Genomic DNA, 26,233 nt, shown 5'->3' with positions numbered 1-26,233 from the left:
AACTGAGAATTGGTTTTTGTAGCTTCAGTTTCTAGATACACTTTCTCCTAAAATGATTCTGCTTTGAAATGACATCTTACCTTTCATAATTGACTCTCTCCCACTTTATTTAAAAAACAAACAAACAACAACAACAACAACAAAAACAGGACTACTTCTCACCCATCCCGAGTTCCATGAGGCAAATTTTCCCAGGCACTTTAAGGTGCCAAGCAAAGGAGTAATTTAAGATTTTTGTGCCTGCTGGCCTTCTTTAGTAAAGGCCCTGGGGTAAGGCTTCTTGTCCTTCTTAGTTGCACATATATTTTTGTTAAGAACAAAGAGCTGTGTTTGATATATGGGATACTGGGGTTGAAGTGTTCTGAATTAGATGTATACTGTTGATTGGGGAGGGAGGTGAAGACATTTTTATTTAATAACCTCACCTCTTCCACTACTCTACTATAATCAAAGAGTGTATAGCTCCAGAAATCAAAGCTAAGAGAGTGTTGATAAGAAATCATTAAAGGCAGCAGTATTTTATTTCATCCAGGTGACAAACTCTAGCAGAGCTCCATGCCTTACCTATGTATCTGTTTTAGAATTATGATTCAAAAGTGAGACAGTTTTCACAGGGACACACATTAACACCATTCCACTGAATTGAGAAAGGAAGTCAGACTCTTTTTATACCATAAAGCAAGTGTGATTTGTCTGATTGGTTTGACAGTAAGGACTGGCTTTGCCAATCTGTAGGTCTGGGGTTTATATGGAAACATATTTAATGCTAAGATAAATATATCAAAAATATTACAGTAATCGAATAGTGTTAAAGTTAGCAAGATTTTTATTTGTCTCAGCCCTTTCTGTATATGTTGAGTTAAACAAAAGAAAAACAGTTACGTGATAAATCTTGACAAATAAAGCCTTTTTGGCATGCCTTCCAGAAATAGGAACTAAATGGTCTAAATAACTACATTATAGTCCTTTGGTAAGTCAGGTGGTTTCTCATTCTTTGCTTTCAACAAAGTCAAAAGAGAACTTTGTAGGGCTGATAGATTATTAAAATTAATTTTGATGACAGATCACTATGTAATATTTACCATAAGAGTAGGAAAACATTCAAGAATTGAGTAACATTGTTATAACAAAACTTTCATTCTCATGTACTTTTTATGTGAACAAGATTTGTGATTAAATCTATAGAAATAATGGGAATAGAAATGAAATGAAACCCTGTCTTATTCAAACAAAAATTAGCATTTAGCTATGATTATGTGAACTAATTCAGTGTGGGAGAAGAGGAAACTATATTCATTCCATTAAGAGATATACTTTTTGGAAGCTTTGGATTTTTTTTTTTTTTTTTTACATTTCACATTTAATAATCTTTCTCAAAATTTATAATATACCTAATATTAATTGTAATGCTAATCCAGTCTATAAAAATGTATAACACAGAGCTTTATGATCACAGGGAATTTTAAAAACCAATTTTTCTCGATATTCATATATATACATTATTACAGAGAAGGATGAAGTATGGCAAAATGATAAAAACACTTATGAACATAAATATATTTTATATTAGGATAAACTAAAGGGAAAAAAGGAACAAGAAAAAATCTGTCTTTTAACGAGGGTCATATTTATTTTATAAGTGGATAAATGGTGGCAACAAATTACTGAGTTATTTAAAGTTTACTGGATAAGTTTATATTATTTATATGAATGAGTTTTATTTGAAAATGTCATTCTTTACAATATTGTGAGAAAATGTCATCCTTTGCAACTACTTAAGCTTATGATTAAAAACATTTAGATAACTTAAAATCTGTGTGAGAGAGATACATAGCTTTAAAACTTAATTTTGAAAACCATTGACTTAGAGCAAATGTGTAATTAGTAGTTGCAATTAGTCGGCATTTAATCAGCTTCCCAAATACTTAAAAAATCTTATCTCCCTTATTTTCAAAACATACTTACAGAGCTAACACAACTTAAAATGGGGTAAATCCTAACCTAAAGCTGTATAGAGAAAAATATATACTCAAATGCCTATATTGAGAAATATTACAAAACACTGGAAAACTCTTAGAAATATGATTTTTCTTTTAAAAACACTGTGAAGTCTGAAGCATATCTCTGAAAGAGTCATTGAACTATACACACTAGTTGAACTTCAAGATTTGGTGTCCAAGATTGTGAGAAGATGCCCATGTGTCTCTATGGAAATTACAGACTAAGTAATGTCATAGACACTTACTTCACCTGTCTGTGTTGGAGTAGACAATTGCTGTTGGGGTTTTTATTTGTAATTATTTTTCCTTTTTACCCTGGATCTAACACTAATTGTGCTTCATCCTACTGCATGTGCAAATCACTCTACAGGCACCGAAGTTGAAGAAGAGCCATCACTCTTTGTTAGGACACTAAATTGTGCTCTAGGGCACTTAAGAATATATAGACCCAAATGAGTTAGAGTACTTACTAAAGTGCCGCTGTACAACTCAGGAAACAACTGACTTGATAATGTAAATCTGGCCAAATAACTGTTAATTATTTGCAATGCTTCTCCTAAGTATTTGTAAGAATCTTGACGCTAAGGAAAACTTGCCTTTATCTCTTTACAAAGCCAGAACTTGCTGTTTTAAAACCAAAGATCAAGCTAGGTTCATTTTTGGTTTTGCCAAGGCTATGAGCCTCTCATTGAAGTTGCCTGAAAGGTTCAGTCCAATTGGCTTTACACCAAATAAAACGCAGTGTGCTCTGTTACAGTTTTGACCCAGAATCAGGTGAATCCCAGCAGTTTTGGCTGAGCTACATTGTAAAATTTTGGATTTGTTCAGACTTGACACTTCCTGGGAACCCATTCAAACTGAAACCGGAAAAAGGTTTTGCACAAACCCTGTCCTAGCCCGTTCTGCCAAGTTTCCCACTGCTCTAATGTTAGTCTACCTTCTGTATATTCGCATCGAGGGCAAACGGAAATATCCTCATGAATCTCTCATGAGGGATCTTGGGTGAAACAATCTAGACATTCTCCTTTCTCCACCTTGTCCCAAAATACACAGCCTGTATTCTATGTTAGTATTAAGCTATGTACGTTTTCCAACAATGGGGATATCTTCAAAGGGTTAAGCTTCTGAAACATGACTGTTTATGGTCAAATGTAGAAAATACTGCTAAAAAAGTGGGCTGTTTATGCAGAGGTACAACCTTGTGGCAAAAGGTGATGACCAATTTAAAAAATGTGAGGTTTCTTTCAGCCTATAAAAATTGTTTTCTACAGCCCTGTCAAATTTTTCATAAACATGATAACATAGGAAAGGTATCACTGGGAAATTGCATAATGAATGCAGCTTCACCAGCAGATGAACTTAGTATTATTGAATTGCTCAGTGTTTGGAGGTCAGACTGACAGTGTCGTATTTGATGCCGATAAGTAGTCATACTGCCTTTCTAACTTCCTTGGTTGATAATGTGTTTTATAGGCCTGTTCTAAACAATATTAAGAACAGCACATTCTCTGGGTAAAAGCTCTTGCTTTATATTGTGAAGATAATATGAATGTATATTGTAAAGCACAATGGCAGTATCTTTCTGTAAAATACAACACATGTAAGAAATGCTTTCTGCTCTCTTTAAGAGAGCCTATCTGGGTGAAAGCTCAGAGTAATGATAGTATATTTGATATCTTTTTAAGATCCTAACTTAACCATAAAATAAGATATTCGTATTACACTCACAATATATAGTGGGGGGAATAGTATATTTTATACACATTTTAAAGTCTTTAATGAAAAACTAATATGGAGAATTTTCATTTTGTGCATCTAGTTTTAACAAATTACCTTCAATCTTTAGCTGAAAATTATTATATGAATAGTTTTAAATGATGGAAAGTGATATGAGAAAAAATAGTATCTGATTAATAGTCAGAAAATCTAGATTCTGGTCATGTCTCCACCATAGCCAGGCACATGACCCTGGCCAAATTATTTAACCTCTCTGAATTTCAATTATTATTATTTTTTTTTCATGATTGGGCTGGACTAGATCATCTTTAAAAGTTCCTCTCCCAGCTGGGCGCAGTGGCTCACACCTGTAATCCCAGCACTTTGGGAGGCCGAGGAGGGTGGATCACCTGAGGTCAGGAGTTCGAGACTAGCCTGGCTAACATGGTGAAACCCCGTTTCTACTAAAAATACAAAAAATTAGCTGGGCGTGGTGGCGCTTGCCTGTAATTCCAGCTACTTGGGAGGCTGAGGCAGGAGAATTGCTTGAACCCGAGAGGCGGAGGTTGCAGTGAGCTGAGATCGTGCCATTGCACTCCAGCTTGGGCAAAAAGAGCGAAGCTCCGTCTCAAAAAAAAAAAAAAAAAATTCCTCTCCCTTGTAGGCTTTTGTCTAATATAGGAGGAATTAAAAATCTGGGGTGTTCACAAAATTTCTATGTTGCCAGTAGTTACTATCAAACAACTTACCCTAGTTTAATCATATTATATTATGTATGAGATATTTATTATGTCCCTACTATGTCTCAACACTGTCATAAAGCATACAGCAGACAAGGTTCCTGCTGCCATGGTTCTCACATTTTAGATAATGTTAGAACTTGATGCTAGAAATCCTTGTCAATACCCCTCACCCTATTCAAGAGAAGTCTAGAGGCCAGAGGAGTTTATGAATTTCTAAATGTGACAAAACTAGGGCTAAAATTCAGATGTCCTGATTAGCAACACAGCATTCTTTCTATTCCACATCCTTCACTTGTGACTGGTGAGAGTAATGAAGATATGCGTAAAGAACGCTTTGCAAGTATTTAGTAAATGATACAAAGTGAAGAGGAAGAAAATTTGCAATCAAATCTCATATTTACCTTGAGCAGGGTAAGAAGAAATAGGGTATGGACATTTTGGGACCATATTTAAGATTGTTATAATATGCCCTAAGCTCACTGGTAAATGGAGTTTCATACAACAACTTTGATCTAGTTTTCCTCCTTTTGAATGTTGAAGAGTTGGCCTGCCCCTAGATTGCATTACTAGTTCTATCTTGAGCTTTGTCAGTGATATTAAACACCTCAGTTGACCTTTTTTTATGCATCTGCATAACAGCTGTAATACCACTTACACAAGATTTTATAAAGTTTGTTTAGAGCTTTTATTAAACTTTGATCTCAGATGAAAGGCTGGAGAGAGTATAACTTGTTCTATTAGCACTGTTAGTACAAATACCCAAAGTGGTCTCTTGTTAATTATTTAACACTAATATATGATTTCATCCTATCATATGCCCCAATTACATTACATTTGAACATCAAACAGTAAAAGGCCAAACTGTCAAAATAGCCTGTCCATTGTTATTCTCTTTAGGCTCACTTCTTAATTATTTTGCTAGCTGGTCTTCCATAAATGATTTTCTGGAGCTTTTGTGATGTTTTTCTCTCCTAGCATCTCACTGCTACCTATGCTTTCTATCACAGCAGAGGCCTTGACATGGTTGGTTGATTGCTATCAGGCATTAACTATATAGTGGCTTTAGAAAGCCACTGAAACATAGATAGACTCGCTGACTTAAAGTATGTGGATTCTATGAAGTACTCCCTTTACATCTTCTTTTCCAAGAACTTCTGATTTTCATTTTATCCCTTTCATTTCTAACTCAAACCTCATTTTTCTGTGAAATACTTCAAAGCTCCTACTTCTACATTAGTTTTTGCTTGAAGAAGAGTACGTTTGTTCCAGAAGTGTAGGAATTAAGTGACAGGGTAAGGTAAAAGCCTGATACTCTCCAACTCTGTTGGATGGGAGTTAGAAGACCTGATTGTGAATTCTGGCTTTTTCACATGGGCGACTCACTTAACCTCTCCAAGCCTGTTTCCTATCATCTAGGAAATGGGACTAATTCTTATCCTGCATGTGTCACAGTTTTGCTCAGAAGGTCAAATGAGACAATGGATGGGAAAGTCCTTTTCTAAATTTTAAAAATAATCATCCCCGATGTATGCATTACCTTTACCAGCCACAACAGCAGTGTGTGGACTGGAAAGGTTTGGCCCATTAATCAGGACATTTGCATTCTGTCCTAGTATTGCCACTCTGGTTATGTGCCTTAGCACTCTGTGTTATGTTAATTTTACCTCCAAAATTCAGCTCAGTTATTTTACATGTAGGCTCTAAGAAATTTAGATTTAGAGTTCTTATTTAATAACCCCAGTAATTTTAGTTCAACACACCCTCACCCCCAGATTCAGTTGACCCGGGGTAGGACCCAGTATTTTTTAAAGCTTGCCAGATGATTGTAATGTACAACTATGGTTGAGAATCACTGATTTATGCCATCTTCAACATGTCCTTCAAGAATTGCCTTTAGTGTGTCCCCTAAAACCTGGTGTTACTCTGCTTTCCTGGATTTTGTCCTACTCATTAACACAGACTTAATTTCATGTCTTTTCTGCTGATAGCATCATGTCTTCTCTCCCCAGTATTTTTTCTTTTTAATCTATTGAAACAACAGTTGTAAGATTCTTTCTCACACATTATTTTCCATAACTGTCCAAGGATCAAGGGAGCTTCATTTTAGCCTTTTGTTAACATTAAAATTTGTCAGATCTAACTTCAAGGACCAGTTTGCTCAGTCATGAACTCGCCAAATGACCAATTCTCTTATTTTAACAAATTACAACAAATTGACTGATTTACAAAACCATTATCTTTGGAAACTATATAAACAGTTAAAAACAAATTAGTGGTTATTGTTTATTTTTATGGTAAATCAGTGTAATTGCTGGTATATTGATTAAGATTATGTAAACTGGCTCTCTCATCTTCCTTTTCTAATTTTTCCTCTTACTACTCTTGTGTTAATCCTTTGTTGCATCACACTCATTGCCTTTCATTCATTTCTCCATTCAGCATGTGATAACCAACTACTCCATGCAATGGATTCAGTAGGAAGCATGGTTCCTTCTTATAGGCACTGCACTGGAGGGTGGCATGGGACAAGTACTTCTTGTTTGAAGTCCTATCAGACTCCACAGAAGTGGTTTGAGTAGGCTCACAGGGAGGAGAAACTTGAGACTAAGAGGATGAAGAGGATTCTGAGAATGATGGTAAAAGGTTGAGAGCTTTTCAAGGGTGGTTTACTTCTCAGTCTACTATCAGGGTCAACTGAACCCAATCTTGGTTTTAAAATTTTTTTAAGTATTGATTTTCTTAAAATCAAATAAAAAACTTTTATCCCTCTTAAAAAGATCTTCTATGAAGACACAAATAGAGATTTTCCTTATTTTTAAAACATAGTAAGTCCCATTCTGTCTTGCAGATACATAATAGATCTTGGTGATCTCATATTCTTGAAGTATTTTGCTATTTTATCATTCTGGAAATTATTTTATCATTATTCATCAATTGTTTCTAACTGTGCTAGAAAGAACTAAAATAATATGAAAATAGAGGAATGATGGAATCACATAGAAGGATGTTAGAATCAAAGAACTAAATAATCACTATTACATAATACTTCATTTTTTAAATTATATTGCCCAAAGTATGTCCGTGAGGAGTCTGAGATTTTGCACAACTTGCAAGCCGGCAAGGTAGGTAGGCCCTTTGGCAGATTATTAGGTCATGAGGTCATGAGGTTGGAGCCTGCATGATGGAATTAGTGCCCATATAAGAAGCAAAAGATACTAGAGAGATGATCTCTCTCCTGGCTATGTGAGGACACCTCAAAAAGGGGGCTGTCTACATAAGCTAGGAAGCAGGTCCTCACCAGACACAAGATCTGCTGGAGCCTTGGTCTTGGAGTTCCCAGCCTCCAGAATTGTGAGAACTAAATGTTTGTTGTTTAAGCCACCCACTTTATGGTATTTTTATTACTTATTTTATTACTTAGCAGCCAAACTAAGAGAGTCCCTATGTTTAAGAGTTTTCAATTTAATGGGAAAAAAAGATGGCTAATGAAAAATTATGATATAGTATACACGTTTATCTCTATTGACCTATTTTCATTCAGAAACCCAAAGAATGTTCTTGAGCTGAATCTGGTCAGCTTTAGCAGAATAAAATCTGGTATAGTGATGTCGTAGATTTGATTTGCACATAGTAGGTGCTAGTAAATGCTTGTTGAGTACAGGAAAGACTGGATGCTGTATCCAGTTCTATTAATAAGCTTTTGTGAAATCCTGCCTAATTTTCGGAGTATTGCATGTTTTCTAGAGTTTTCATAGCACACTCGAAGTGTCCAAAGTTGTGTGGTTTTGGCTACTTTTAGTTACTAATGTGTCTGGTAAAGGCTGCAGGACTTACTCATTTTAGTTGAATATGTAAAATGAAGTAGGGGAGGGGGCCTGAGTTCAAAACTTCAAATTGTTTTGGCAAGACCAACTCTTTTTCCTATTTGCTACCAGCCACAAAGCTTCATTGTTGTCCAGTTGAATGAATGCATGGCTTTCATTTGGGCAGGGAAGGGAAGGACTTTCTAGCTATTGGAGTTTCAAGAAAGCAATTGGTTGTGGCAAATCTTAGATGAATGTGTTCACCAAATAACATTGTCAGCTGTATTGTATCCACTGGTTTTCATGATCCATTTTTCACAGCCAGTGGTTGAAGATTCAGCATCAGGCCAACTTCAAAAATATATACTTGTGCTCACATGTACTCCATATGTACCCTCTTAATACTTTTTGTTCAGCCATTTAGCCTAATAGAGCATCTCAAACATACTTAACCTTTAACATTAGCTGTCTAGATAAATTGTTTGTCAAAATATATTGCTCTAACTTCAGATTATTGGTACTTTTAACTAAGTATGGTTTGGCAGTGAGGATTCTTTGAGACAGTGCAGCTGGATTTTTGAAGGTTTTAAGATATACCTGATAGTCTCTGCTTCCGTCTGCTTTGGCAGCAGTCGTCAGGGAAACACTTTGCTACAAGAGCCAGAAGAGTGTTTCTAAGTGTTCAAAAAAGGATTAATTATGAAAGTAAACTTTAAAAATATAGGCATAGTTGATCTCACTTATTTTTGAAATAAATCTCAATGCCACAATGGTAAAAATAAAATACCTTGCCGGATTTCTGTTTAGATCTGATCTGCCTGTCACAAGAAATTCATCCATATAGGAGGATTAGCTGTTCACATGGTCTTTCAACATCCAAGTGCTGTGTGTGGAGTAATGGAAAATGATTAATTTATTTTGTCATTCTCTTTGAGAACACAGGACATCTCTAAAAAAGAAAATAGCCCTTTATTTTGAGGACAGAGAAGATTAATTATGTTTACCTCACCAAGGCGCTTTTAAATAAATCAACCTAGACCCTACCTTAGCCAGAACAATGATCATTCCTAATCAGAGCTCTCTATCAGGACCCTCTGCTCCAGGTTAAATATGGAAGAGACAAATGTGATTACCTACTTGAGGGTGTCTTGAGGACTTGGGGCCAGGGCTTTGCAGGATTCAGGGAAATGATTAGCATTTCTCAGTATCTGCCCTGTGTTGGGTGTCCCCATCATTGTCCAGCAGGGCCAAGCTCCTATAGACTCATCCATAGGAAACATGTTGCTCTTCAGAGCACTCACTCCTATGCCATGTCATTAGGTCCACAGAAGACTTGGTTCTCATCTTCCTCTCTTTAACTCGGTCTATACTGTCTATCTGAACTTTACCATCCCCTCATTCTTCTTTCAGTTCTGTTTTTTGTTTTTATTATTTCTTTAATTTTGAGTCTGTTGAGAAATATTCTCTGTCCCTCAAAGATAGTCGATTTTTAAATTCTGCATTTAAAATATAATCTTGCAGTATTTTTCTTGCCACAATATTTCTAAGTTCTAAATGTATCTTTATGTATGTTTATGATAAGGTTTTATTTAATAAAATTGAAATGTATTCATGTGTGATACCAAGTACTCAGCATTGGAAATATAGGTAAAAATATCATCCTGCCTTTAAGGAATTTGCAGTGTAATGAAAGAGACAAGTAAACACACATTACAAAATAATTACACACAGGATGGGAGGTACATATACACATAGGAAATACTAAGGATGGGCACTTAACCCAGAGTTTAGAGGAAAGGCTCAGAGAATAATAACTAGTGTTATCATTGTAGTAATAGCTAACATTTATTGAGTGCTTACCGCATGCCAAGCCCTGCTCTAAGCACTTTACATGTGTTAATGTATTTGATCCTTACAACAACTCTGCAAAATTAGGAAACTGAGTCCCAGTGTAGAGGGATCAGGAACTTTTCTATAGACAGATAGCCAGTAGGTGACTAACCCAGGGTTTAAACTCAGGTAGACTGCCTCAAGAGCCCAAGCTCTTAACTGTCATGTTACAGGAGGTATTGACCAAGCCCAGTCTTGCAGGAGAATCAGTGAGCTCATTTAAGCAATGTGTAGAGAACATTTCAGACAGATAGACCTTCATGTATAAAGTCACGATGGCATAGAAGCTTTCAGGACAGAAGCAAAAGTATGGAGTAAGATTTGTGGCAATAAAATGAGAAGTTAATTAGCAGTATTTAGATAAGGGTAAGATTGTGAGATTTTTTTTTTTAAGTTAGGCCAGTTATAAGGTGAAAAAAATGAAAAGCAAGTTCATTGCCTGCTTTTGGAAGCATCTTTTCTAAAAATACACCATGACAAATATTTGGAGTTGGTAATTTCATGGGGTAAACACCCAAGGAAACAAAAATGTCTTTTTTCCTGGTTTTTTTTTTTTTTTTTTTTTTAACACAGTCATTAGCTTCACTTTCTGCCATAGAAGAGTGAAGGTTTTTCCACTCCATAGGTATTCTTGGGTAAATATTAACTCCAAGAACCCCATATCTACTTTTTTCCTTAGTTTGCTTTTTCTTTATAAAATCTTTTTTTCTCCATACTCTTTCCAGCCTTTTAAGCTTAAAAAGGAGATCCTAACCTGCTATAGGAAGAACTTAATGCTACAGTGGACTATGGCTAGTGCCAAAAAGGTTATTAGAGATGTTCAGATACTGTTTTCCCATTTTCCTGACTTAGAAACTGAGAACCATGGGTTAAATTGTTTGCCCAAGTTCATACAACTGGTAATGTCAAAGCTGAGCTATAACCTTGTATCTCCTGATTTCTTCTTATTGATGATCTTTTTTACTATGTCTTGCTGCCTGTCCTTAATCAGAAGGTTACCACAAATAAAAATATGATTAGAGAAAACATTTTGTGGACATATATGACATTTTCAGAAGTTTACAGCCAAAATGCATGCTCTTGGGGTGAGAGAGTGTTTGGGGTAAATCGGGAGCATTTGGTATGGTACCATTGGCCTTCTGGGGATTCCGCCTATTCTCCCTGTAAATTTTTCACAGACCTCTATGCAAAGGACACCCTGAGGTGGGTCTCAGAGTTTCTGCTACTGTTCAGCAAGTCCCCAGCCTAGGAGTAAGATGCCCATCTTCCCCTCACACAGCACTCCCAAACTCCACAAGACCTTCTCCTGGTTAGGGGTGAGGGGCTAGCAGTCTGCTCTCCAAATGACATCCTGATATTTATTTAGAGAGTAAATGAGAGGATGTCATTCCTCTGCTCAAACCCTCAAAAGACCTTCCATCTCATTAAGAATTAAATACAGAATTTTAGCTGTGGCCAAAAAGGCTCTAAAACCTCTTGCCCCAGACATCTTTGGCCTCACCTGGCTGCAAGCTCCTACCTGGCCACACCAGGCTCTTCACTATTCATTCCCGCAAAGTGCCACACAGGTGCCCTCCTTAGGGCCTTGGCCCTGAGTTTATCCTTACTGGGGGAACCTGTTCCCATTATTTCAAAGTAGGTTCTTTCTATTTTCCGTAAGTGTCAGCTGGCTGAGAAATAAAGAGAGACAGTACAAAGAGAGAAATTTTACAGCTGGGCCGCCAGGGGTGACATCACATATCAGTAGGACTGTGATGCTCCCTGAGTCTCAGACCAGCAAGTTTTTATTAAGGGTTTCAAAAGGGGGGGGGGTGTAAGAACAGGGAGTAGGTACAAAGATCACATGCTTCAAAGGGCAAAAAGCAGAACTACTACTAAGGGTCTAACAAAGATCACATGCTTCTGAGGGAACAGGACAAAGGGAAAAAGCAGAACCATTGATAAGGGTCTATGTTCAGCGGTGCACGGTGCATGTATTGTCTTGATAAACATCTTAAACAACAGAAAACAGGGTTCGAGAGCAGAGAACCAGTCTGACCACAAATGTACCAGGGTGGAGTTTTTCCCCACTCTAGTAAGCCTGAGGGTACTGCAGGAGACCAGGGCGTATCTCAGTCCTTATCTCAACCACATAAGACAGACATTCCCAGAGCGGCTGTTTATAGACCTCCCCCCAGGAATGCATTCCTTCCCCGAGGTATTAATATTAATATTCCTTGCTAGGAAAAGAACTTGGCGATATCTCTCCTACTTGCACATCTGTTTATACGCTCTCTGCAAGAAGAAAAATATGGCTGTTTTGCCTGACCCCGCAGGCAGTCAGACCTTATGATTGTCTTCCCTTGTTCCCTAAAAATTGCTGCTGTTCTGTTCTTTTTCAAGGTGCACTGATTTCATATTGTTCAAACACACATGTTTTACAATCAATTTGTACAGTTAACAGAATTATCACAGTGGTCCTGTGGTGACGTACATCCTCAGCTTATGAAGATAATGGGATTAAGAGATTAAAGTAAAGATAGGCGTAATAAATTATAAGAGTATTATTTGGGAACTGATAAATGTCCTTGAAATCTTCACAAGTTATGCTCCTCTGCCGCGGCTCCAGCCGGTCCCTCTGTTCGAGGTCCCTGACTTCCCGCAACATATCCTGTCCCCATTGCTTTCCTCTGGCAATGCTCATGACTCAGTCTGCTCCAAAACCATTGCATCAGAGAGGCTGTCACAGACCCCTGTGTCTAAAATAGAAACCCTATCACTCACTACCACTTTACCCTGCTTTACACTTCTTCAGAGTGTTTATGACATCATATTTTATGAACATGTTAGTTTCTCTCCCATTTCTGTTCCTGAGGACAGAGAGTTTTTACCTTTTCACCTCTAGAACAGTGTCTGAGGCATTCAGTAAATATTTGCAGACTGAATAAATGTGAAAAGCTTTCCTTCATCAAATAGTATTCATTCATTTGTTTACGTAGTATTTGCTGAATAGCTCTCCTGGGTCAGGCACTTTGGTGGAATGCTGGGGACATATATTCCCTACTCTCATGATGCTTATTGCCCACTGCTAATGCAAGCATTAATAGGTCACACAAATTAATATTATATTAGTGCTCCAGTAAGTGTTGCCAATGTGAGGCTCATGAGGCAATGGAGAGATTGTTTCACAGTATCAGAGAAAGCCGGGGAGCCTTCCCTGAGGAAGTGATGACTAAGCTGACATACGAAAGAAAGTAAAAGTTAACCAGTTCACTTAGGATTTGTGCTTTTCATTACATGCAAATTCTACATTTAAAAAAATAATGAAGTGGAGTTGATGATATGCGTGCTGAATTAGGTGAGGGAACGTGTATTAATGTATGCAATGTACTTCGAAATGCACCCCAAAAATAAGTTGGATCGAAGGATAGACAGAGTGATGGATAGATGGATTGATATATGATAAAGCAAATATAAAACATAATGTTAATAGTTGAATCTAGGTGGTGGGTATACGGGTGAGCTCTGTAAATTTCTTTCACATTTCCTGTATGCTTGAAGATGCTTATAGCATTGTGGGGAAAAGTGTTAACTGGATAAGGAAATTGGAAGGAACATTCTCCATGGAAGGCACAATATGTACAAAAGTAATTTTTGTGCTATTACACTTCTATTACTTTAACATCTTAGATGATGTTTGTAGAATAGTAAATGCATTTCTAAATGTTAGATATAGTTTTAATTAAGTTTGGCTTTTTTCTGCTTTGTGCTCTGTTGACTAGTTTTTATTAACTCTAATTTTAGATGGTCACTGACCTCTTCACGTTTTAGAAGTTACTAGAGTTGATGGTACCTCAGAGATTCAGCTTTAAAAAAAAAAATCTGCTGTTTGAAAAGTACTTGACACTTTTCAGTTCACATTCACATTCACTGTCCTACTTGTGCCTATCACAAGTAAGTACTTGATAGTCACAAGTAAGAGAGTGAATGTGAATGTATTGTTCTGTGGGCGTAGAATAATAAAGACCATTAATATTGATCCCCATTTTGCAAATAAGATACGGAAGCTTAGAAGGGCAGGGCAAAGTCATATTCCCAAAATCACAAAACACAAGTAAGTAACATTACTGGAACTATGAATATCCACAAATTAGGGATGCTGATTTCCAATGCAGCATATATTCCGCCTCTGTTCATCATTCAGCTGGTTACACGTGTTTGGGACCTGTGTATCTAGAAGCATAGTTTCTTTACCTGTCACCATAGCAAAAATTGCTAAACACAGTATCTTCTAGGAAACCTTGGCTTATACTGTTTGTTCATATTTTAACATGCAATCACTTAAAAAGAATTGTTTTTTTGCAAACGCTCTGAAATTTCTTTCCCTTGTGAGTACATTTTATGTTCAGTTTTAAGAAATGAAGTGATTACAATTAAGTAGATTGTAGATCTCAAGACCCTCCTTCTTGTAAAACAGTTGTAAGTGCCTAGTTTATTGTTCAGCACACAGAGAACATTAAACTAGTCCTCATTTGTCTTTGTGTGTTATTTTTTCTTTATATCAGGGAGTGGCAAGAATGATATGAAAGAAGACAATTTCAAGAATCCTCTGGGAAAGAGATGATTCTTTTATTTCCTCTGTCTTCCCTTCTCCATCAAATCATTCTTGGTGTTTTCGTATTGAAAGGAAAAAAAGAAAACCCAAATCACTCATTTGGAGAAAATACTACATCTTTTTAAGCTAATAGTAAGATAATGGGTTGACTGTAACATAATTCACTTACATGTAGAAATAAGAAAGCAGTAATTTGAAATGGCAGATTCTGTATTTCATATAGTTCCTCTCTTAAAAAAAAATACTGTGAATAGGAGTTGGAAAATACCTAGAAAGCCTTCTGTATCTCAGTTTTCAGTGAAGATATGTTACCTGTTCTCAAATTTTATCATTGCTTTTTAAAGGAGATCTACCACTTTTGACTACAATAGTGTTATATGAAGACAAATAGAATTTGTTGTTGACAAAAACTCTTTTAGATGTTAGCCCAAATGTAGACACTGATGTCATAGTGCCATGTTAACTTAACAAGCATTTTTACTTAACAAGCCTTATGTACCCTCTTACCCCAATACACATGTAAACACTTCTAAGTGGGCATCTGATTTTTTAGACCGCTCATAAAATACAGTCTAGAAATAGAGGACTCCTCTGATATCCCAAGAAATACACACAACTTTGAACACTGGGGCTCATAAAGAATGTGCATCAACACCGTGACTTCGGTGGCCTATTCTCTGCTACTGTTTGGTGTGGTTCCAGTGAGTGTCTTATACAGTTTGGAAAACAGGGCCCTATGAAGCCAATACAGCTGTGCTGGATCGAGTTACCACAAGTGAAAAGGCATACAGTCTATCCATTTCATGATCTCACCCTTCCTCTCCCAGAAACGTGTTTACTCAGGTCCTTTTACCACCTTTCAGCCATTTGTCAGGAAAGTTTTGCAGTGGATCTGTTTCCAAATGAAATAGAATTGCATTTTTGAACCCAAATAAACTGCTTCATAGCCTTATTTATTTAACATGTGTGCAGTGCCAAAAACTCACACATTTATTTTTAAAATAAAAATGTAGATATCATCTCCTTTAATTTATTCATCATCTAAACCTCAAAACACATATGATTTCAATAACACTATAAGAAAATGGTAGTTGTTACATGTTAATAAGAAAATAAATGTGCATTTTTTTTCAAAGAGCAGTATAAATACTAAAATATATTTATGGTTAAATCTGTTCCTTAAGTTTTCTCTACAGGAGACAGGAATCTAAGAATTGCAATGCATTCCCCCCTTTTAATTCCTAATTGCTGCTACTTATGTTGTCATACTATATTATTTGGTTTCCCTGCAGTCAGAAATAAAGGAACTACTAAGGAAAAATGTACTGTGGAACAGTACAGACAGCTGAACTTCATAGGAGTTTGGTGTTGTTGCAGATTTCAGAATGGCAAAACTGACAGCTTACTCTTTGCCCTTGTCAACAGATAGCCAAACACATCTGTAGGTGCAAAAGCCACAGGGCCTATTAGACAAGATTTCTGAATTTCACTATTGCCTCTACCACTTGATCTTGCCCTTAGTCTAGAGGAAATACATAAAACATCAAACTTGTGCTTCTGGGGTTTTAATAAAGAGGTCAAGATTCAGTGGGTTTATTAGAACATGGTAAGTCTACCTTTGTCTGCATTCAGCCAACATTTATTTGAAACACCTCTTAGTGGCCAGGTAGTATGCTTCACTAGTGTTAAATGTTATGAAAAAAAGAAAAGGCAGTGTTAGTATCATAAAACTCCTCTGACATTTAACATCCTATAATCAACAGAAACACTATCCAGACCCCATGTGTGTGTGTGTGTGTGAGTGTGTGCATGTATGCGTGCGCGTGTGTGCACACAAGTGTGTTTAGACACGTGGTCCTGAGTACAGACTCTTTAGCACCAGTGAGATTACATTCTTTATGGTTTCATCTTAAAACTTTTCTTCCAGAAATAAGCCTATCAAGGACACATCTTCAAAGTCTAGCTGCTAAGAGTTGATAGCTAGAGGGAAGTTAGGAATTTACATAAAGCACTCACTATTTAGCTTCTAGTTGCAATGTACTCCGTTTTAGCTGGCAATTTGCCATGAAAATATTTTCCTAATAAGAACCTTGCCATTTCTGCATTCAGACTGCTTGGATTTGCATCCCAGCTTTGCCACCATCTGACTGCAAGGAAGTTATTTACACTCTCCGGTCCTCAATTGCCTTATCTGTATAATGATGATAACAATAATACGTACCTATCTCTTATGGTGGTGTGAGGGATTAGGAAGTGTATTCAAATTTGAATTATGTGTTCATGGTTCAGTCTTTCATTTTGCTACTAAACAGGATTAAGATTAACTGATCATCTGCTTTGACCCTACTTCTAGGTCCCTGGAAGTCCAGCTCTTCTAGCCTCTGAGATAAACCAAATATACACAATGTACTGGCCCTTTATGAAGTGGAATCTTAATTGTGAACTTTTCTTTGTTTTCTAATTTTAAACCCCTTTGTAAGCATCTGATTTATTTATTCTCGAAAACAACTAAAGACAAATTAAGCACGTGTCATATGCTGGTGACATTATTGAAATAAACTTTGCTCCCTTTTTTTTTTTTTTTTTTTTTTGAGACGGAATCTTGCTCTGTCGCCCAGGCTGGAGTGCAGTGGTGTGATCTGGGCTCACTGCAAGCTGCACCTCCCAGGTTCACTCCATTCTCCTGCCTCAGCCTCCCAAGTAGCTGGGACTACAGGTGCCCGCCACCGCGCCCGGCTAATTTTTTGTATTTTTAGTAGAGATGGGGTTTCACCGTGTTCACCAGGATGGTCTCAATCTCCTGACCTCATGATCCACCCGCCTCGGACTCCCAAAGTGTTGGGATTACAGGCGTGAGCCACCACGTCCGGCCCTGCTCCCTTAACAGTGGGGACTTGTCCATGCCCTTTAAGGCATGAGATAATGTAAGGCAGAAAAAAATTAACCAACTTAGAAAACAAAATATTTCCCTGACTCTGCACAAAGTATTTTGCCCTGGGAATTAACATGACATAGGTCCTCATGACATCTCTGAAATACAGCAAGTTTCTTATTTTAAACTATTCATCTGCTAATGGATCTTGTCTCTCTGGCTGTGAGCTTTGGGGTGAAAATAATTTTGAAATCTTAAGTAATGTGACAAGATTCTAATCACAGAATCCCAGCCAATCTTAAATTAAAAAAAAAAAAGTTGCAATGTTATTCATGTTCTTGAGTTTGTATGCCAAAGTGGCAGTTTTAAGTACACTCACATACATGCAGAGAGAGAGAGAAGAGCCAGAAAATACATTTTTCTCCCAAAAAATATCACTTAATCATGAAATTATGAGACCTGAGACGCCTGTAAGATTGGACTCATTGTCTTCATTACTTCACATCTTGTTGTTGCAAATGCCCTAGTTAGTTCAGCATTTGTGCATGCAATTCCCTTAAAGTAAGTACAAATAACTTTTTTCTTTGTATAATTATTACATCTTTTGTTCCCCTGGGTGAGCTAAATGCTCCTGAAGAACAGGACGTATGCCATCTATGTTTGTGGATCTTTCTATGATATCCGAGATACATATTTGTTGTTAATTGACTAGAATATAAGGATGAAAAGAAAGGTATGTGTACCAGAAAGTGTTTCTGATATTGAGGAAGATATTTATAAGCAATGCATAAATGGAATATAAAATAAGCCACAAGTGAAATAAATAGTGAGGAAGTATAAAGATTGGTTAAGGGAGATGGGGGCAGCGGGGGATGGCAAGGGAGGGGAGAATAAAAATAACTGCACTGAGAAAAGAAGGAGTCAAGGAGTTTTTCAAAATTCACTCACAAAAACATAGCCGTTTGAATATACATCCAAAACCATCATATAATTGTCAAAAATAGTATGTAAACACATGCAAGGAAAAGAATGGTTTCATGTAGTCGCCTGGTTGATTGAAAATTTTAAGCAAAACTATTTACTTAACATGCTGCGTTTTACAGTAGGGTAAGAGATCATTTACTTATTTTGAGCACAAAATGAGTTTTACATACTTACTTAACCTTGGTTCAGAAGATCACTTCAAAATGAGAAAAATTATGGAACAAAAAAAGGAAATAAAGTTTTAATACTACAGATATTATTGGAGTGTGTTTATGAAGAGGATTTTATGCAATGCATAAAATTTTGATTTAAAATCATCAGGGCATTGCTTTGTATTTTATTGTTCAAGAGTCAATAAATTCCTAAGAAAACCTATAATTTTATTATTTAAATGAATATGGCATATACGGTGGCTAAAACTGCAAGCTCCTAAGCCTACATGTTGTGGCTTATAGTAAGAAACACATCATTTTGATGAATCTTTCCTACACATGAAAAAATTAGATGAAGTCATTTAAAATGCATGGCAGTGTAAGTGAGTACATGTGGCCTAAAGACTAACAATAATATAAATGTTAAGCAGAAGGAACAAACTACTAAATCCTTTCAATGGAACTTGAAAAAGAGAACTTTATGAACTTGAAGAAACAGCATGTAGACTTCCCTTTCAGAATGGCAGAGTAAAGGTATTTCTGCCCTTCTCAAAAATCTCATTACAAAAATAAGGATATGAAGAAATAGAAAAACTGATTTACACGTGTCAAAACTAGAAGACATCTGTAACTCCATGTCACAGAACATTGAAAAGTAGTAAAATGACTCAGAACAGAAAAGGTGAAACTCAAGGATCTGCCAAGGGGATAGCAATGGAAAGCAATCAAATATCATTCACCCTGCAGAATTCTGGAAAGCCATTTGCATTGGAGTAATTAGCACAGTTACTGTGGAAGGAGGGGTGGATGGGTACATTGAAAGTGTCTGTAAGGAAGGGTTAGACCCTCAGCCCTCTGTCTCCATATGTGCCTCTACCCTGAACCCCGTGAAAGACATAAAGTATATGCTGTGGGGGAAACTGCATCAGTGAGGCTCTGGATTGGATATGCCAGGCAGAGAACAGCATCTCTCTGTTCAGGGAGATGGGAGATTTCAAATAGGAAAGTTAACTGAGAAAATAATGAACTCCTCCCGAGAAAAAATTATATAGCTGGGTGTGGTAGTGTGTGCCTGTAGTCCCAGGTCCTCAGAGGCTGAGGTCAGAGGATCCCTTGAGCCCAGGAGGTTGAGACTGCAGTGAGCTGTGAATGTGCCTTTGCACTCTAGCCTGGACAACAGAGCGAGACCCTGTCTCAGAAAAAAAATATATATATATATACTCATAATTGAGAGATTCCCCATTCCACAAAATGAGCCAGTTGACTACTTATTTAGCTTACAATTTCATTATTTAATTCTCAGGGTAGGTATTATATATGATAATTAATGCTATATGATGCATTGATAACTAACTCTGAAATCTTATGGCTTAACACAGTAGAGGTTATTGTGTGACTCACGTGAAATCCAATATGGTGGGCAGCTCTCATCTTAATCTTGTAGTTATGCCTTCTGGAGCATGTGGCCATCAGGGTCCTCATGGTAGGGGCTGGGATAGAAGGGGGAACGCTCAGGTTCAACTGTCTCATTCCAGAAGTGACACTCTCAGAGTCCATTGTTCAGAACCTTTCACAGGGGAGAAGTAGGGAAGCACATGGAATATTGAGGGGCCACTAACTTCCCTGCAACTTTGTGCAAATTTATGTCTAGGTTCTTGCAGTACACTTCTCTTTCTTCCCATGCGTCAGCCATAGGGTTTATTGTTTATTTCATTGAACAATTAAAATCCATTTTAAATTTAAGAGCTAGCACCTGTTACCCACCTAATATGTCTGGCATTGTGACAGAGCTGAGGATACAGAGATGCCTATAATATATATGCAGTCTCTAGTCTCAAGATTATTTTACCATTTAACTTTTTATTTTATGTTTGCTTTGAAATAATTTTCATATCATTCTCACTTAATGTTCACAGGTGGGTGTAACAGTGATCAGCTAATTAAAGACTGTGTAATAAGTTATTGACTTATGATCAACAGGACCTTGTGTCCCTGAAGCAAATGTTTAATTTCAGATATTTCTCCCAAATCTTGAGAACCACTCCTCTTTCCCTTTTAACTGAAATAATTGCTGAGAACTCTTTTCTTCTTTATAATGGCAACATTTAAGAATCTCTAATATACTCCATAGATAAGTAACTGCAGATTCATCTGTTTCTCAGTATTACCTCATAGTCTATTTCTGATGTTCACTGAAGCAGGTTTGTAAATTAATATTAATATGAAATAGTCTATAGAAAGTTTCATAGCATATCAGTTGAAAGCAATTATCCAGGAAGAATTTTTGTATCTGAGTCAGTCTTGCAAATGCATCTCATATACTTTTTAAAAGGAAATAATTCTTCTATTTTCAAAAGATACATTTATCTTGAAAATACTATTATATATGTTCTTATTTGACTGTCTAAATCTACAGTTTGAACTGCTTCTTACAGTGGTGCATCTGATTTTTAGTATGTGGATTCTGAGAGTATTAATCAATTTTTTATAATGTTTGGTTTCCTTATGTTTTCTATTTCAGAGTACCCAAGTGGCCTTGGACCATCTGGAGTCTGTGCCTGAGAAACTGAGCCTACTAGAAGATTTCAAAGACTTCAGAGTGAGAAAGAGTTGGCTTGTCTCTTTCAGTATTTTATCTGAGTGAGAACACTTGACATCTTCCTGATGTGCAAAGAAAAGTATAGAAAAGGAAGAAGGACCAAAAAACATTGGGAACTTTTAACATACCACCTTATCAGGGTTTATTGACATTTGTGAAGTTAGAATTGAAAACAATGCAACTTATGTATTAGCACAAGATAGGAAGATATAGACTTTCACTGTACTACTAGAAGCTCAGTTGGGCCCCTAAAACTTTAATGATAATTTAGAAAAGCCTAAGAATTAAAGGGAGTTACACATTACACTGACAATAGATAACTTTTTTGGTTAGCAATTTTAATTTGTGAATTATTTGGGTACTGTTTGTTTTAGAGATATGGTAGTTCCCAAGTTATCTTTACACTATGACATATGAACTCAAATCCACGTAAATTTCACATTTCATATTTCATGGCCATTTATTGATAGACCTCTAACCACAAAGCATTTCATTATCAAGCCAATTAGTTACATGTGTTAATTTACATTGTGTAGTTTTTTAAATTCCTCATAGAGGAGATATGCAAAACAAATATCTCTGCTGCCAGTCCTGCCAGACAAGGTCTGGTCCCAAGAACGTCGTATATAGCCTTAGGGCTGCAGATGCAATGTAAAATTTTAATGATTTATAATTTATTGACCTTGTATAGCTGAAGCTAACAATGGGAAGGATTTCTTTTTGGCAACCATGTAATCATATTTCACATTGGCCTTAAAATATAACTTATGTTATATTTAGGTTCTGTTTAGATCTGACATATTATTTGAAGATACAGTGGATAGGAAAATGGCCAGATCATGCCATATTGATTTATTGGAAGCATTGATATAATGTGGTTCCCAAGGTCTACACTGTCTTAAAATTACCTTGCATTAAGCATCTTTTGGTAGTTCAGTAACTAACATTTTTGAGTGAGATCCAGTTTAGCTGACGAATCTAGAAAGCTAGACTATCCCAAATTGAACAAAACCAAGTGTTTGATTTGATTATATATTTGCAGTTTAAATATCTATCAAAGAATTATGAAACCAGTATCCAAAACAGTGCAATTTCTGTTTACTCTTAAACAACCCAGTGTGATAGGAGACAATATGTTATGCCCATATTATTTTCATTTTTTTCTCTGTAACTAAATTATCCAAGTAAATGAAGGGCAGACAAGAGAAAATATGGGAAACAGGTTGCACTTGTCACTGAGAAATAGATACCTGTCTTATACCAGCATAAAAATATACATTTTAACCTCCAGTGACAGATCACTTTTTCCCCAGTTGTCTACAATGAACAGAATGTTCATAAGTACAATTTAAAAGTTGTATTCTCTACTATTACCAAAAGGCTCATTATTATTATTTTTAATCCTATGAGCTAGTGATCATCTACAAGTCTAGCTCATATACATACAGACTCACATATGAAGATGCCTAAATAGTAAAATTTTTTGGGAGAGTCTTTTTCAGAGTTCAGCATTGTACTTCCCAATATACTGAAATTGAAACGTTTAGCTTGAAAAGGGAAAGAGTTAATTAGCAAGTGTTATGCACACAGTGCATGATACTTAGCAGGTGCTAAGTACTTTATGGTACATGTTTCCTAATCTTCAGAGATACTCTATAGATGGGTGTTATTTTCACCCATTTTATAGATGAGGACACTGAAGCTTGGAGCCCATAAACTAGCTGGAGGTGGGATCTAATTCTGTGTAAAACAGCAGAGCCCATCTGCTTCGCCCTGCTGCTTTTAGCTTAAAATCCGTTCTACATGTACTCTAAAGCCCTCTATGTGATTAAAAAGAGCTGATTTTAATCAAGTTAATAAAAATGACTAGATATAGCCTTAAATGAAAATACATAAAGCCTTGAGATTATTAGATGTGGATTATATTTATTCAAACCCTTTCAACTTTCTAAAAATCAGTGTGGCGTGAACAAGAATACAAAGACCTAAGTTCTGGTCCAAAGTCATGCACCAGACAAAAATCACCTAATGCCTCAGGAGATATGTCCGCATTCATCTGATGAGGCACCTGAACAATATTATCTCTGGGTTCCTATATACGTATTTCTTGATAGTACCATAGCCTATGACTTTTAAGTGTGAGTACGGACCTCATCTTATTTAGATAGGCCTGACTTTATTCTTGTTTAAATGCGGTCATATTTATTTTGAAAGAATTGTTGGCTGGGCGCAGTGGCTCACGCCTGTAATCTCAGCACTTTGGGAGGCTGAGGTGGGCTGACAACCTGAGGTCAGGAGTTCAAGACCAGCCTGACCAGCATGGTGAAAGCCCGTCTCTACTAAAAACACAAAATTAGCTGGGCGTGATGGCACATGCCTGTAATCCCAGATACTCAGGAGGCTGGGGCAGGAGAATTGCTTGAACCAGGGCGGCGGAGGTTGCAGTGCACTGAGATCGTGCCATTGCACTCCAGCCTGGGTGACAGAGTGAGACTCCGTCTCAAAAATAAAAAAGAATTGTTTCAGCTCTATAATTCCATATTTAAACATTACATTTTTGATTAGGTAGAAAGGGAATAGCATTGAGTTCTAAGTCCAATCTGCCACAAATTGTCCAGCCCTGGGCAAGTCATTCTTAACTTCCCTGGGCTCTAGTTTTTTAGAGGTTTTTGTTTTGTTTTGTTTTTGTACTAAGCATGAGAACTTTGGAATTATAATACCCCTTCTAGCTTGAACACTCAGTAAGTTTAAGGTTTCTTGGGACTTTGAGGGACACTAAATCCGTACGTGTTTTTTTTTACATACCAAAATCAGTTGTCCTCATTGTTTTTCTAATTTCTCCCTAAATAATAATAGAAATGTCTAAATAATTGTCTATAGTGACTGTTTGCTGTGTTCCTTCTTCCCCCAAGAAATGAAGAGGAAAAAAAAGAAAAAAGGCAGGCCTGGAAATTTTTGTTTTCTTAATTTTTTTTATTACCTGAATCTTTTTATGTTTTTAAAAGCAAAGGAGCTATCCTCCAGTTTAAAAATCTATGCGACATAATAGTTAAAAGGTGGGATGTTGTTTATGGATAAGTGAAGTAAAAGGGCTCTAGTTTTACAGGTAGCAATTTTTTAAAACAAGAATATATTGATGCTAAGTACCAATGCAAGTGATAGTACACAGCATCCAAATGTGGCATGTGTCATTAATGACATCTTTGGACAGTTCATTGCTACTTGAACCTTGTTCTAAAGGGTGTCAGTCACTGTAGATGGGCATAGGGACTAGTTGTTAAAAGAATTCAGGTAACCACTGTAGGATGCATTGTATTTTTATGGTTTTATCCACAGTGACAATTTTCTTCTTTTTCTTGTTCTTTTTTTTTTTTTTTTTAGACAGAGCCTTGCTCTTTCACCCAGGCTGTAGTGCAGTAGCACAATCTCACTGCAACCTCTGCCTCCTGGGCTCAAGCAATCCTCATTCTCCCACCTCAGCCTCCTGAGTAGCTGGGACTACAGCCATGCACCACCATATCTGACTAGTTTTTGTATTTTTTTGTAGAGGTGAGGTTTCACCATGTTGCCCAGGCTGGTCTCGAACTCCTGGACTAGAGCTATCCTCCCACCTTGGCCTCCTAAAGTGCTGGGATTACAGGTTTGAGCCACTGTGTGTAGCCTTCTTCTTTCTCTATGGTGGCCTGTGATTCTCCTATATATCTCTAAATTTTTGTAATTATTTATTTTCATTTTTATCTACATATAGACTCTTTCTTACTCTAATTTCAAGCACTGATTTTCTTTCATCTACCAGTTCAGACCCTTTGCTTTTTTTTTTTTCCAGGATTCCTGCAGTTCATCTGAGAGAACTGATGGAAGATATTCCAAATACAGGGTTCGCAGAAATTCTCTTCAGCATCACCAAGATGACACCAAGTACAGAACCAAAAGTTTCAAAGTAATTTTCTTTATATACTTTTTTAGTCTTTAAGTAGTATCCATGTTTAAGGCTACAACCTCTTAAGCAGCCTCTGCAGTGTTTGTGTAAGGGCACTTGTGAAAGAAAATATTTTCCTTGATATATTAAATAGACTTTCAATTCTGTGGAAATGGAGAATAAAAATCCAGAGTTTGTGCCTACCACATTTTGTCTGGGAAGTAAGCCTTAAGTCTGTGCCATCACTGCTTGATATGTTACTTGTTTACGGGAACTGGTGCTGCTTAAGAGCCAAGAAACCCCTGGTCACTTGGTTGGTCAAAATCTTAGTGTGATGATCACCTTCTTCTATGTATAAGTCTAGCTGCTCTCCACACTGAAGTCTGCAGTAGGTCAGATAATATATTGTACTTTGGAATTCTAGTCATTTTCTTCTAGAGGGGATATGAACTCCATATTAATACTTCAGCTTTTGGTTTATTACCGTGGAGCCAGCACAGGACACTGGGAAGACTTAACCGTATTAACAAAAAGCATACATTCTCTAGAGCCTACCCAGTATCCATCTGGGATCTGGGTGATTTTAAATCCATTTGACCTTGGGCAGCTCTCAGTTTAGAGCAGAGTTTCTCAGCCTTGGCATTCTTGATATTTGGGGCCAGTTAATTCATTGTGGTAGAGGTAGTCTTATGCGTTGCAGTATATTTAGTTGCATCCCTAAAATGTACGCACTAGATGCCAGTAACATCTCCCATCTCAAGTTGTAACATCGAAAAATGTCTCCTGACATTGTCAAATGTCCCCTGGAGGGCAAAGATGCCCCCTGTTGAGAATGCTGACCCAGAGAGAGTCCATCTATATTCAAATGTGCACTCCAAGTCAATTAAAAAAAAGCTAAAGGTTTTCTGGCTTTTTTATATTCTTACAAACTTGAATATGTATGAATATTCATTACACTGTA

At 36.8% G+C, this 26,233-nt stretch overlaps 1 protein-coding gene across 15 annotated transcripts in view; it reads left to right on the top strand.

Annotated features, from left to right (window-relative positions):
* The window catches only part of CEP128 (centrosomal protein 128), a 482,534-nt gene that overhangs the window by 407,341 nt on the left and 48,960 nt on the right, over positions 1 to 26,233 (top strand). For 13 of the 15 annotated variants that reach the window (NR_157142.2, XM_047431023.1, XM_011536493.3 and 10 more), the window contains 2 exons: positions 21,276 to 21,353; positions 25,180 to 25,293. Coding sequence is in view for 14 of the 15 variants with exons in the window: in XM_047431023.1 (XP_047286979.1) it covers positions 21,276 to 21,353; positions 25,180 to 25,293 (192 nt within the window). In the remaining variant the exon portion in view is untranslated. Of the gene's footprint in view, positions 1 to 21,275; positions 21,354 to 25,179; positions 25,294 to 26,233 lie in introns of those variants that run through there. The other 2 variants (XM_047431026.1, XM_047431025.1) reach the window with 1 other exon arrangement.

The sequence above is a fragment of the Homo sapiens genome, chromosome 14, assembly GCF_000001405.40.
Source record: "Homo sapiens chromosome 14, GRCh38.p14 Primary Assembly".
NCBI lineage: Eukaryota > Metazoa > Chordata > Mammalia > Primates > Hominidae > Homo > Homo sapiens.
The sequence above is the reverse complement of the archived record's forward strand: the minus strand, read 5'-3'. Positions and strand labels throughout refer to the sequence as shown.